The sequence below is a fragment of the Homo sapiens genome, chromosome 19, assembly GCF_000001405.40.
Source record: "Homo sapiens chromosome 19, GRCh38.p14 Primary Assembly".
In the NCBI taxonomy this organism is placed as follows: Eukaryota; Metazoa; Chordata; class Mammalia; order Primates; family Hominidae; genus Homo; species Homo sapiens.
The window spans coordinates 18,463,192-18,476,399 of NC_000019.10; the positions used below are offsets into that span (position 1 = coordinate 18,463,192).

A 13,208-nucleotide genomic window follows, 5' to 3' on the forward strand; every position below is an offset into this window, starting at 1 on the left:
ACACCTCTGGGGTCTGTTCAGTGGGGTCCTGACAGCAGGGCTGGACTCACCCATATAGGGCCAGGCTGATTGACAGGGAGGAGGAGCAACCTGAGGGGGGCACTGTGAGACAGAGGAACACGCACATTCACATCTTTTTTTTTTTTTTTTTTTTTTTTTTTGAGACAGAGTCTCACTCTGTTGCGCAGGCTGGAGTGCAATGGCACAATCTCAGCTCACTGCAACCTCCGCCTTCCAGGTTCAAGAGATTCTCCTGCCTCAGCCTCCCGAGTAGCTGGGACTCCAGGCGCACGCCACCACAACTGGCTAATTTTTGTATTTTTAGTAGAGATGGGGTTTCACCATATTGGCCAGGCTGGTCTCGAACTCCTGACCTTGTGATCTCCCTGCCTTGGACTCTCAAAGTGCTGAGATTACAGGTGTGAGCCACTGCATCTGGCCACATTCACATCTTAACAGACAGCGTCCCCTACCAGAACATAAACTGTTTCAAAAACCCTCACTGGGCCAGGGGCGGTGGCTCACACCTGTAATCCCAGCACTTTGGGATGCTGAGGTGGGCGGATTACGAGGTCAGGAGATCGAGACCGTCCTGGCTAACACGGTGAAACCCCGTCTCTATTAAAAATACAAAAAAAAAGAAAATTAGCCGGGCGTGGTGGCAGGCACCTGTAGTCCCAGCTACTCGGGAGGCTGAGGCAGGAGAATGGCGTGAACCCGGGAGGCGGAGGTTGCAGTGAGCCGAGATCGCGCCACTGCACTCCAGCCTGGGCGACAGACCGCGACTCCATCTCAAAAAAAAAAAACCCTCACTGTACCCAAAGTGGTGTGCTAAGATACATTTCTGATCAAGTTTTTGGCTGAAGGACCCACAGATTTATTAACATGTATATGGGGCCAGGTGCGCTGACTCATGCCTGTAATCCCAGCATTGTGGGAGGCCCAGGCGAAAGGATCATTTGAGCCCAGGAGTCAGACACCAGCCTGTGCAACATAGCGAGGCTCTGTCTCTACAAAAAATCTAAAAGTTAGCCATGTGTGGTGGCACACACCTGTGGTCCCAGCTACTCTGGAGGCTGAGGTAGGATCACTTGAGCCTAGGAGTTTGAGGCTGCAGTGAGCTATGATTGTGCCACCGCACTCCAGCCTGAGTGACAGAGAAAGGTCCTGTCTTTAAAAAAAGAAAAAACAAAAAACAAAACACGCTGTCTCTTCAACTGTTCTCCCCACAGCAGCCCTGTGCTTGGGGCTTACAGCCCAGGGCCTCAACATCATGGACAACCCGGGCTCCCTGGCCATACAACATGTCCACCCGGACTCAGTGTTGACCAGGAAGACCAACCCCTGCACCCACATCTGGGGTTTCACTCAGAGGGAACCCCTCTGCTCAGCAAAGGGAAATCACGTGCTTTCTTCGGAAGGAGGAGAGAGAGGAATTGAAATGCCCCCGCCTTTTCTTAAAGATAAAACTCAAAAAGCCATCAAGGCTGTCGTCTGCTCTGAGCCATCTCCCTCCTCCCTGAAGCCCGGCACCCTACTCCTGCCGTAATGAGTTCCCATGACTCCTGGAGCTCTGCCTGGACTAAGAGGCGGGGTGCTGCAGCTCTGTAAACAAACAGCACTGTGCTTCCCACTGTCAAGGCCTGTTGGCTTCTCAACTGCTGAAACCGTTTCCAAGTTGATGCTGAGTGGCCAGAGCTTTCCTGCAGTGCTGGGTCGCTGGCAACAGGGCCTGTGAGGCTCATTTCCTGCCTGTTGCCGGCTGTGGTGGCGTTGGGCAGGAGCTGGCTGGTCAGGTGAGGGTGGGGGCAGCCTCCAGAGACAGACATGGGCCTTGCCCTAGGCTGCATGCCCATCTTCAGGGAGCCTGTTGATCTCCCTGACAGGTGAAGGTCCCCAAGGCTGCAGCCTGAAAGCAGGGACCACCAACTCACAGCTCCTGGAGTTCTCAGGCCCCTTTGTCCACCTCAGGCTTCACAAGCCAGCAGCTGCCATAACCCAACCCCCTATCCCTCACATAGCCCCCAGGCCCATGTGGCCATACCTCTCTTCCCAACCCAGACTCTGGTCCAGGCACGTCCTGCTCAGGGACCGACTCCTCGGTTGACCCATCATTTCTGTGCAGGGCACAGCCAGTGCCCAGCCTGGACAGGCCCCAAATGTCTCCCGACACTGGCAGCTGCCCGGCTGCCCTACAGCCCTGCCAAACCCACTGCTCACCCAGGTAGCGGCCTCCAGCCTTGATGACAATGGCACTTCGGCTCCGCGTCTCCTCCTCCGCCTGGGCCATGCTCTGCCGCGCCTTCTGGTAGGAGTCGTCGGTGGCACACACCGTGATCTTGTCCTGTATGCTGCCCAGGCAGTCCAGGTGAACTTCCCCATGACTGCAAGACAAGGCCAGGAGCTGGGGTCAGCAGCTGGGACAATGCAGGGAGGATCCGTTGAGGGCCCAAGCCCCCAGCCCACCACCTGGCCTGGAAAATGGACTCTGTCAACACCATCTCAGGCAATATGGTTTCAATGGGGCACATCTCAACCCTGGGCCAGAGGTGGCAGGGTGACCTCAAGAGCCGGCGGGGTGCTCTGGGGTGGGGCGGCGCCTCACCTGGAGACATACTGCTGGATGCAGTCGAAGCTGCCCTGGGGGTTGTCGCGGCCGATGTTGGAGAGGTAGAAGGAGAACGTCCGCGCCTCTGCGGGGCAGTCAGGCTGGGGGATGGAGATGTGCTGCGTGGAGGGGGAGGGGGTGTCACTGGGAGGTCCTCGGCAGGACAGGTCCCCAGCCTGCATCTTCCTGCATGAGTCCCCACAGTGCAACCCTCACAACAGGAATGTGCTGGCCCTTTTCCCTAAAACACACCCCTGCTCTTCAGCCAGTGACGGGACAGGCAGCCCATCCTCAGCAACACACACTGCGTAGAGAGGGGACTCAGGCACCTATGCGGGTGGGCATGGGGCCAGGGGCCGTTTTCAGCAGCAACAGCACTGCTGTCTGAGGACAGTGCTCAGCACCTGCCCAGATGCAGGGCCCCCACCCCAATCGTGTGACCCCTGGAAAGTGGTTTGTCTGGACCATGACTCACTTTCCCCACCACCAAATGGACAGACCTGGCCTGCGACACCCTATGAGGTAAAATGCAACAAGAGGGGCTTGGGCAGCCACGCGCAACTCTGGCGCCCCTCCTTGGCGACCCCCTCTCAGCATCCCCCCACAAAGGACATGGACTCCACGTGAGTCTCCATTTGCTGCAGCTGTGAATCAGGTAGGCTTGTGTCCCAGGGGCTCACAGATCAGAAGCACTGGCCCCCAACAAGCCTGTCATGGGTCACACCAGCCTGACTTTGGCTGTGCCCCTGCAGCCCAGCTGGGCAAAGCTCCAGCCCTGTCTGGGAGGACGGACAGCCAGGGGCAGGCAGGCGGATGGACGGACTGCGCTGGTCCCGGCCAGGCTCAGTGCAGGGCGGCATCACATCAGAGGCCATTGCATTCCAGGCTGACCCCAGACCCTCTGTCAACAGAGTTGGCCCTTCCTAAACTAATGCCTGGGCTTTGGCATGAGCTCCTCACAGTTAGACTGACACATGAAGGGCGCTCAAATAGTCCACAAGGAGGGGACAACATGGGGGGAGCCCTCAGGTCTTGTCCCCTGGCTGCAGCACCCCCTTGGCACCCAAGCCCCGTCTCCTCCTCTGTGACACCATGAGCGCGGGAGAGACTGTGGCTGAATCTCCTGCCCCCTCGCCCCTGCTGAGCTGCCTCATACGCCCATGGGAGGCTTTGCCTGCCTGTGCCTCACCTGTGAGACAGGACGGGGCTCCTGCCACCAGACACGTGGAGGAGCACCAATCCCCGGCCCTGCTGTGTGGCCTTGACTGGGACTTGTCCCCTGGGGTAGTGTTTGGACACACAAGGGAAGCCATGGCTGCACCCAGCCCAGTGCCAGTCCCTGCTCCCAAGACAAGAACAGTTCCTGGGTTCGGCCACTTGGGGCAGGAAGAGTCTGGTCTGGGCTTGCAGGCAGTCCCTGTACCAGCCAGTCTGCCCGGCCTGCAGACCCTTCTCCAGAGGCCCATCCTGCCCCTTCCCCAGGCTGAACACTGCCCCAGGAAAAAAGCCGTCCCATCTGCTGGGGTCTGCCCAGCATCCCCTCTCAGCCTCGAACATGTCCCCCTAAGGCAGGTGCCCTTGTCCCTGTCATGCTGATACAGAAACACAAGCTGAGGGGTCAGGGCCCAAACAGCGTGCTGGTGGAGGGCAAGGCCAAAGTCCATTGTGGGCCCACCATGCCAGGCCACACCTGAACACAAACACACATCTCTATCAGGGTCAGAGAAGGCAGAAACGGCCTGCACTCAGCATCGGAGAAATCACACACATATAGCCTCTGATGATTCACCCTCGGACAGAGAAACCCTCCCCACCCGCCCCCACCACACAACCACACACACACACACACACACACACACACACACACACACACAAACACAACCCCTCCACACACAATCTCCCCACACACAATCCCCCACAACCACACAATCCCCACACACACACAAACACAACCCCTCCACACACAATCTCCCCACACACAACCCCCCACAACCACACAATCCCCCCACACACACAAACACAACCCCTCCACACACGATCTCCCTACACACAACCCCCCACAACCACACAATCCCCCCCACACACAAACACAACCCCTCCATACACAATCTCCCCACACACAACCATACACACACAATACCCAACACATAGCGCCACACATACAACCACCCCGACAGCACCACACACAACCTCCCCCACACACAAACACAACCCACACACACAACCCACACATGCACAACCCCCACACACACAGCCACACACAAACCCCTCCACACCAAACCCCTCCACACACAAACCCCTACACACAACCACACAAACACAACCCAGACATAAACCCCCACACAGCCACACAAACACAACTCACACATAACCACACACACAACCACAACCCACACAAACACAACCCCCACACACACAAACAATCCATACACACACACACACACAAACACAATCCATACACACAGAAACACAACCTCCCACACACAAACAACCACACACGCCCTGAAGCCTCAGCCAGAGCCATGTGGGTGACCCTGGCCATCCAGATCTGTCCTGCTTCGACGCCACTGAGGTGTTTTTTCACCCAACACACACAGGTGCCACCCTGCCCTGCCTGCACCTCCCTTCCCAGATGTGACTTTTATTCTCGTTCATACAAGAAACTGGAAACACGCTGCTGGGATGAGGGAAGCTCAAGTTTGTGAGAGGCTCTGTGGTGGCCAGGTGCACAGGTGACATGGTGACCCAGAATGAGCCAGCCAGGGAAGCTGGGGACCACACGTCCAGGGAAACCAAAAAGAGTGGCTGTGGGAACCTGAGCCTGGCCTGGGTGGCTCTCCCGCCCTCCTCTGTCATCTCTTTAACCCCCACTGCCCCCTGTGGTCCTGGCCTGAGGCCCAAGTTGCCAGTGGCTCCTGCCCCACAGTGACTAAGGGCTGGGCACCCTCACGTGCAGCCCTGTCCCAGGAAAACCCCAGCTCCACCCAGGTTGGCAGGACTCATTCTGTCACCCTGGCTTCAGGGGAGATGCCACTCAGCAGAGAGCTGGCAGTGAGACCAGGCCACTGCCTGTGGCCTGGGGCAGCTGTACACCCAGTCAGCACTGACAGGGCCCCCCTGCCTGAGCCTGCCCAGCAACCTTGCTTCTCTGTGGGTAGGGGCTTCATAGTGGCCCTTCACCCTGCTTGGATCTTTTCCACACAGGTGTAGACATCTGCCCCCCAAACTCCATCCTAGAAGCAGGGGCCAGGTGCAGAGCCCAGGGCCAGGTGTGCAGCTGTGGCGGGGAGTAGGGGCTGCATGAAGGGGGGTGACACAGGCCTCAAAGCTGATGCTCGGGAGAGTGTCGTGCTGCTGGCGAAAAGGGGAAGACACACAGAGGGCATGGCGGTTGGCGTCCTTCAGGATGCAGGGGTGAGAAGGTGGGGAGAGTGTTAGGAAAGGTTTCCCGGAGCCAGACACCGAGGTTCTCACAGGCCCTGCCTCCCCTAGCACACGAAGCGCTATGGAGCCCTCTGATTAACGGGCTGTTTTGCTGCTGGTTAATGGTTACCAGCCCGGGACCGTGGGGAAGCCAGCGGGATGGGAGCAGCCCAGGAATGCGGCCACTTTCTTCGCACTAGCCAAGAGCTTGCCCGGGTTCTGGGACAAGGTTTGAAACGCAGCCCCTGCTCAGCCTTCTGAATGGGGTCTTGGTTGCTCCTTGGGGACTGCTCATGGGCCCAGTGACCCACGTACCAGTGGGCTGCCATGGGGCCCTCAGATGGCCCACGCACAGCAGGTCTGGGTATGTCTGAGGTCAGTCCCGGCTCCAGGTTATAGGGTGTGGGGAGGAGTTGCCATAAACCTAAGCACTAGTCCATGCTCACAGACACAGAGCCCAGGCCACAGGGGCTCATCCTAGGCGCTTCCGCAGGGCCCAAAGGCCCGCTCTGCCCTTCCCGCTGACCTGACCATGGCCACCAGGGGGCGTTGCTTCCACCACCGCTCAAGTCCCTGCCAGAGTCCGTTCATCTCTTCCCTTTGAAATCCATCCCAAATTGGGGCCTGCTGCACTCCCCACCTGACCCCAGACAGGAGCTTGGGCGATGCTGGCTGACTGGATCCATGAAGGAACACCATCCAGGGGGCGTTCCGACAACGATGAGCCCAGTGCAGGCTCTGTGGCAGGCTGCCGGCAGCATGGCCCAGGACCAAGAGCCCCAAAGCTAACAGCCCACTAAAGTGAAGCAGCTGGCCAGGCGCGGTGGCTCCCGCCTATAATCCCAGCACTTTGGGAGGCTGAGGTGGGTGGATCACCTGAGGTCAGGAGTTCGAGACCAGCCTGGCCAACATGGCAAAACCCTGTCTCTAGAAGGAGGTTAGCTGTGTAGCCACCCCAGGTCTCTCTCAGTGACTTGGGCCCCTGCTACACATGTTATTAGGCTCCAGGTCAAGGCACATGGCATGCTGCACGCAAGGACACCACTGTGTGCTTCGGCCATGGCCAGGCTGCAGTGTGTCATCTGACGGGCTCGCTGAGATGGGGGTTGGGGATGAGGGGCCCCCCCACTGCTCAGGTTGGGGTAGAGGGGCATGGGTGGTCAGGCAGCAGCAGAAGGCACAGAGTGACTGCTGTAGGACACCAGAGGGCACTGTGGGGCTGCTCTGGCAGCAAGCCCAGGCCAGCCCGCCCCTGCCCCCAACCTCTGACCCCTGAGAGAATGTCCTGGGGAAGGTAAAAAGGAGGTGGCCAAAGGGTGACCACAAGACCCAACTGGGGCTGATGGAAGTGTGGGGTTGTGTCAACTGGCTAGGCTGCAGCCCCTGGAGATTCATTATTCCATGACATCCCGTCTAGGGGTGCCCTGGAGGTACTCTGTGGACATGGTTACCATCCACAAACCAGATACTGAAAGCAAGTAAAGGAGATGACCCTCGATGGTCTGGGTGGTCCCATCGAATCAGCCCAAGGCCTTAAGAGGGAAACTGGCTGGGGTTTGGCAGGAGGAGGAAGAAACTCTGCCTGAGGACTGCTCCATCAGCTCCTACTGGAGGTCTGCAGCCAGCCCTGAGGGTTACAGACTCCCCAGCCCACAGTCGTCTGAGCCCACTGCTTGCAATGCATCTTTTTATCAGCACACACAGACACACGTCTCCTAGAGGCTCCATGTCTCTGCAGAACCCTGGGCTGCACCTGGAAGCCCATGGATCATCATGTCCATATCCCCACATCCAGCTGTGCAGAGCTCTCAGGCTGTGGACAGAAATTGATTTAGGTACAACATGGTAACTCTAAAAGAAAAAAAAAAAGTTGGGTGCAGTGGCTCACACCTGTAATTCTAGCACTTTGGGAGGCCAAGGTGGGAAGATCATTTGAGCCTAGAAGTTCAAGACCAGCCTGGACAACATAATGAGACTCCGTCTTTACAAAAATAAAAATAAAATTTGCCTAGCATGGTAGTGTACACCAGTAGTCCCAACTACTTGAGAAGCTGAGGTGGGAGGATCCCTTGAGCCCAAGAGTTCAAAGCTGAAGTAAGCTATGGTTGTGCCACTGCACTCCAGCCTCGGCAACAGAGAGACTCATCTCTTAAAAAACAAAACAAGGCTGGGCGTGGTGGCTCACCTGTAATCCCAGCACTTTGGGAGGCTGCAGCAGGTGGATCACCTGAGGTCAGGAGTTTGAGACCAGCCTGGCCAACATGGTGAAACCCTATCTCTACTAAAAGTACAAAAATTAGCCAGGCATGGTGGCAGGCGTCTGTAATCTCAGCTACTTGGGAGGCTTAGGCAGGAGAATTACTTGAATCCAGGAGGCCGAAGTTGCAGTGAGCCAAGATTGCACCACTGCACTCCAGCCTAGATGCAGGGGAACCTGCAATAAAGGCTAGAAGAAAAATCAAACCATTCTAAGGCATATCGGGTAGGTTAGGGGAGATGAAGAGTCCTAAAACAGGGGGTCAAAGAAGGTAGATGACTCACCCTTTCTCTCATTCCCTGATTTTTCTATAAGATGGTCATTTAGAAGAAAACATATTTCAAAAAAATGAGGGTGCTGAGTTTCTATGAACCTCTCTCCCAACCAAAATCCAGACAAATGTCCAAGGTCCTTGTGTGCCCTAATGCAGCAGTCCCCTACCTTTTTGGCACCAGCGACTAGTTTCGTGGAAGACAATTTTTCTTTTTCTTTTTTTTTTTGAGACAGAGTTTCGCTCTTGTTGCCCGGGCTGTAGTACAATGGTGCGATCTCGGCTCACTGCAACCTCCACCTCCCAGGTTCAAGCAATTCTCCTGCCTCAGCCTCCTGAGTAGCTAAGATTATAGGCATGCACCACCACACCCAGCTAATTTTGTATTTTTAGTAGAGACGCGTTTCTCTACGTTGGTCAGGCTGGTCTCAAACTCCAGATCTCTCAGGTGATCTGCCTGCCTCAGCATCCCAAAGTCCTGGGATTATAGGTGTGAACCACCACACCTGGCCAGAAGACAATTTTTCTATGGATGGTGGAAGGGGGACAGGGAGCCATAGGGGAGGATGGTTTCCGGCTGAAACTGATCCACCTCAGATCAGGCATTAGATTCTCATAAGGAGCACGCAACCTAGATCCCTGGCATGCGCAGTTCACAATAGGGTTCGCGCTCCTGTAAGAATCTAATAACAGGCTCAGCTGACAGGAGGCAGAGCTCAGGTGGTCGTGCTCACTCACCCACAGCTCACCTCCTGCTGTGTGGGCAGTTCCTAACCAGTCCAGTGCTGGGGGTTGGGGGCCCCTGCCCTATCAGAGTGGAAGCTAGGTGCACATCGCTGCATGAAGGGAGCCACTGGGAGAGGAGAGCCGCCCATTGCCCAAGCAGCCTGTGACGTGCACCCGACACGTCCTGGTGTGGCCCCAGCCAAGGGGCTATCCTGGGGGCCTAGAACCCAGCCTTGCATGGTGGCAGACAGGGCCCAAACACTGCCATGAGCTGCTGCTGTACCCAGCGAGCAAGGACAGACCTGAGACTATACCAGTCCCAAGATTCCAAATATGAATGATTAAGACAAAAACTTACCCCTTGGCTTCCTTGAAATCGGATAGATGGCCTCAGTGAAACAGAATCCTATAAAAAAAAAAAAAAAAAAAAAAAGGTGAGGGGAACATCAATAAAGACATTGGGAAACCCAAAGACTCCCTCCCCAGGTATAGAAGGAGCAGGGTGAAGATGGTGTTCTCAGGAGAGGGGAAAGGAAATGCACACACTCTGAAAATTATAGGCAAGGTCACCGGAGCAGGGTTTTAGAAGGATCAGTAGGAGTTCCTCAGATGGACAGAGGGCTGGGGACACATGACAGGTAAGAATGGGGCCTCCAGACACAGGCAACAGGCTGGCGGAAGGCCCAGGATGCAGGGGCGGGGAGTGTGCCATCCTTGGAAAGCCACCACCAGCCTGTGAATCCACCGGGAGAGAAGGGCAAGGCTCAAGGTGCTCACAGCCCTGCCAGGAAAAAGCAAAGACAGGTCAGGGTTGACCCTGGATCATGACTCTCCCAAGGACCCATACAGGCAAAAGCAGCCCCCTCCACTCTCACAGCCCCAGCTGATCCCCTGAAACCACCAACCAGGCTAAGTCCTGTCTCACAAACACTGGCTTTTAACAACCAGGTGGGTGAGCACTGTCTATCAGAGCAGGTGCGGTGGGGCCACCTTGGAGCCTGGGGTGGGAGCCTGAGGCCTGCACAGCTCCACCACACGGCCTTGGGGCAGTCACATGGCTTCTGGACAGCTGGTCACTGAGCTTGGAGCAGTGGAATTTCCAAGGAAAAAATATACAAAAGAGCTCAAAATAAATACTGACGCTTCAGCTATTCAGAGACCAGCCTTCTGGCAGTATCTGAGAAAGAACTGCGAGCCAGAGGAGGACTGCACCTCTGCATCTTCTTCCCTCTTCCCAACCTGGGGCCCTAAGCGTAGATCTCAGTGTCCCAGATGCTACCCCACAGCATAGCCCTGGCTGATCACCATGATTCTTGGTCCCCAAACCCACCCCTGCACCACCTGGCCCCACTGCCCCACTCAGGTCCAGCCCACTGAGATGCCCTCCCACCCAGGCCTTGCTCCTGTCCTCATAGTACCCCGTCCTGGGCTCCGTCTCCACTGCTCAGGTCTCACTCCCTCCCACCCTGGTCTGCCCATAGCTCTCCCCAGAGGGCAAAGCACTACTTGAGTCTGGAGAGGCCTGTCGGAAGACCCGGGGTAAGCGGAGCAGCTCCACACCTGCGACAGTATCAGAGACAACACCTACCCCATGGGTCAGCCCAGGGTCCGCCCTCTGGAGCCACTCAGCACTGTTCCAGGACTCCAGCTTGAGATGGCACAGGGCCCTCCAACTGCTCACATCCAGTGCCCATCAGTTGGGAAAGACAGGAGCTGCTAGGAGCAGCGGAAGCCGCCTGGGACATGAGAGATGGCTGGCCTTTCAGCACCTGCTCCATGTGTGCCCTGAGCCATGGGTCTGCTTGGCCAGCTTAGACCACGCAGCTGTATACATATGACATGCATAGTGCCCAGAGTGGGAGGCACCGAGTGCCTCACTTTGGTCTACCAGGAGCCCCCTTCTTTGCCAAGTCTCTCCAAGGATTTTGCCAAGACTCCCCAAGGATTCTGCTGTTTAGGGGAGAACAGAGGGATGGTGCCCCTGCACGCTAACACCACCCAGGCCGTGATGCCCCAGAAACTGCCCCATGCTTCTCAAACACGCCACCCCTCAACAAATACATGGGCCCACTCCACAGCGAGCACGATTCACGGCGCAAGCCACCACTGTCCATGGTGCAACACGTCCATGGCCCACTCCCTTGTCCTGTTCCAAGACCAGGAAACAGCTGCTGCAGTCACAAGGGCCACTGTGCTACTGCGACAAGGGGGGCTCGTCTAGAGCAGCTCAGGAAGGGCTAGCCCTGTACCCCAAAACACGACTCAACCACCAGCCTGTGCTGCTACTGCAGAGAACAGGGGACCTCGGCCTGGCTGGGACCTTGGGGAAGCAGCATCTGAATGACCTTTGCTACAAATTTGGTTAAACAGGCCAGGTGGTTCACGCCTGTAATCCCAGCACTTTGGGAGGCCGAGGTGGGCAGATCACTTGACGTCAGGAGTTCGAGACCAGTCTGGCCAACATGGTGAAACCCCCATCTGTACTAAAAATACAAAAATTAGCTGGGCGTGGCAGTGGGCACCTGTAATCCCAACTACTTGGGAGGCCAAGGCAGGAGAATCACTTCAACCCAGGAAGTGGAGGTTGCAGTGAGCTGAGATTGCACCACTGCACTCCAGCCTGGGCAACAGAGTGAGATCCTGTCTCAACAACAGCAACAAAAAAGAATTTGGTTAAACACAGACATGAAAAAGAGACCTATAGGGACCAATTAAGGTGTGAAAAGACACCGGATGCCATTACTCATCAAGGAAATGCAAACTGTAACCATAGTGACCTAGATTGATAGCCATAAAAATATTTTAAAAAATAAAAAAAAACATAACCACACTGAGATAGCTCTGTACCCATCAGAGCAGCTAATCTAAAAGAAGCTGACAAGAGCAAGTGTTGGCGAGGACCCAGAACCTCTGCCGTCGTGGGCGGGAGTGGACAAGGCTCAGCCACTGTGGAAGCCACCTGGCAGTTTTCTAAAAGGTTAAACAAAGGGTTAAACACACCCAGCAATTCCACCCCGGGTATACACCCACAAAAACACACTTCCGTACAAAAACTTACACCTGAACATTTATAGCAGAATTATTTAGAGAATCCAAAAAGCGGCAGTAGCCCAAATGTCCGTCAACTGGTGGAGAGAGAATCAAACAATGGAATACAGAGGACCATGCCAAGTGAAAGAAGGCTGCACGTCATGCCACAGGCTGTATGACTCCATTTCTATAAATCCCCAGGTAAGGCAAAACCAAAGAGACAGAAAGCCGACCAGCAGGTGTCCAGGGCTGGAGGTGGGAGTGGGGAGTGGCTGCAGCCGGGCGAGGGTAGAGGGTCAAAACTCACAAGATGGGACGTTTTACAGGATGTTCGCTACACCTTCCCAACTGCCCTTGAGCTCACAGGGGCCGTCTTTGTTGACTCAGGGCACAGGAGCAACATTCTCTGACACACACACGGCGAGTTCTGGAACAGACGGAGGAGAGTCCTGTCCGTTAACCATTTTCAATGCACGAGTGAAAGGGAACTGGCGTAAGACACAAGAACCACACGGAGCAAAGGAAGCACCAAGGCAGAATGGCCCAGCCCACCCCACTCAGGGAGCCCCCACAAACTCATGGCACCAGTCCTCATGGGCCCCAGGAGCACACGACCAAGGCCAGGTGGGAAGGGTATTCTGGAGGAGGGAGCAGCAGGGGACTGGAGCAGGAACTCAGTGCAGCAGCTGCAGAGAGCAGGTGGGCCCCGTCTCTCGCGGTGCAAACCTCTGCAGAGGGGTCGGCCCGGGGCTAACACAAGCACCCTGTCTACTGTCCATGCGAGGCCTCTGCATGTGCAGCTGTGAGCCAGGGATGAGGGCTCAGAAAACAGTGATGATGCTGAGGCCAGTTAGGGTGACAAGGGACAGGAACCAGTTAGGGTGCACAACCCC

General features: G+C 56.1%; 1 protein-coding gene across 3 annotated transcripts in view, besides 3 other annotated features; it reads right to left on the bottom strand.

Annotated features, from left to right (window-relative positions):
• Positions 1-13,208, bottom strand: part of ELL (elongation factor for RNA polymerase II) — a 79,408-nt gene that overhangs the window by 20,529 nt on the left and 45,671 nt on the right. For 2 of the 3 annotated variants that reach the window (XM_017027335.2, XM_047439479.1), the window contains exons 2-5: positions 12,623-12,742; positions 9,644-9,691; positions 2,606-2,727; positions 2,221-2,384 (exon numbers count right to left, since the gene is read on the bottom strand). In XM_017027335.2, coding sequence (XP_016882824.1) covers positions 2,221-2,290 — 70 coding nt within the window. In that variant the 5' untranslated portion in view covers positions 2,291-2,384; positions 2,606-2,727; positions 9,644-9,691; positions 12,623-12,742. The remainder of the gene's footprint in view (positions 1-2,220; positions 2,385-2,605; positions 2,728-9,643; positions 9,692-12,622; positions 12,743-13,208) is intronic. The other variant, NM_006532.4, reaches the window with a different exon arrangement.
• Positions 5,530-6,167: an enhancer, noted in NCBI's record as "H3K4me1 hESC enhancer chr19:18579531-18580168 (GRCh37/hg19 assembly coordinates)". NCBI's record gives its function as "activates a minimal SCP1, AML or CMV promoter by ChIP-STARR-seq in naive H9 embryonic stem cells {active_cell/tissue: H9 hESC(naive)}" and the evidence as "EXISTENCE:reporter gene assay evidence [ECO:0000049][PMID:30033119]".
• Positions 6,331-6,440: a silencer, noted in NCBI's record as "silent region_10403". NCBI's record gives its function as "represses an Ori minimal core promoter by ATAC-STARR-seq in GM12878 lymphoblastoid cells {active_cell/tissue: GM12878}" and the evidence as "EXISTENCE:reporter gene assay evidence [ECO:0000049][PMID:35858748]".
• Positions 6,481-6,530: a silencer, noted in NCBI's record as "silent region_10404". NCBI's record gives its function as "represses an Ori minimal core promoter by ATAC-STARR-seq in GM12878 lymphoblastoid cells {active_cell/tissue: GM12878}" and the evidence as "EXISTENCE:reporter gene assay evidence [ECO:0000049][PMID:35858748]".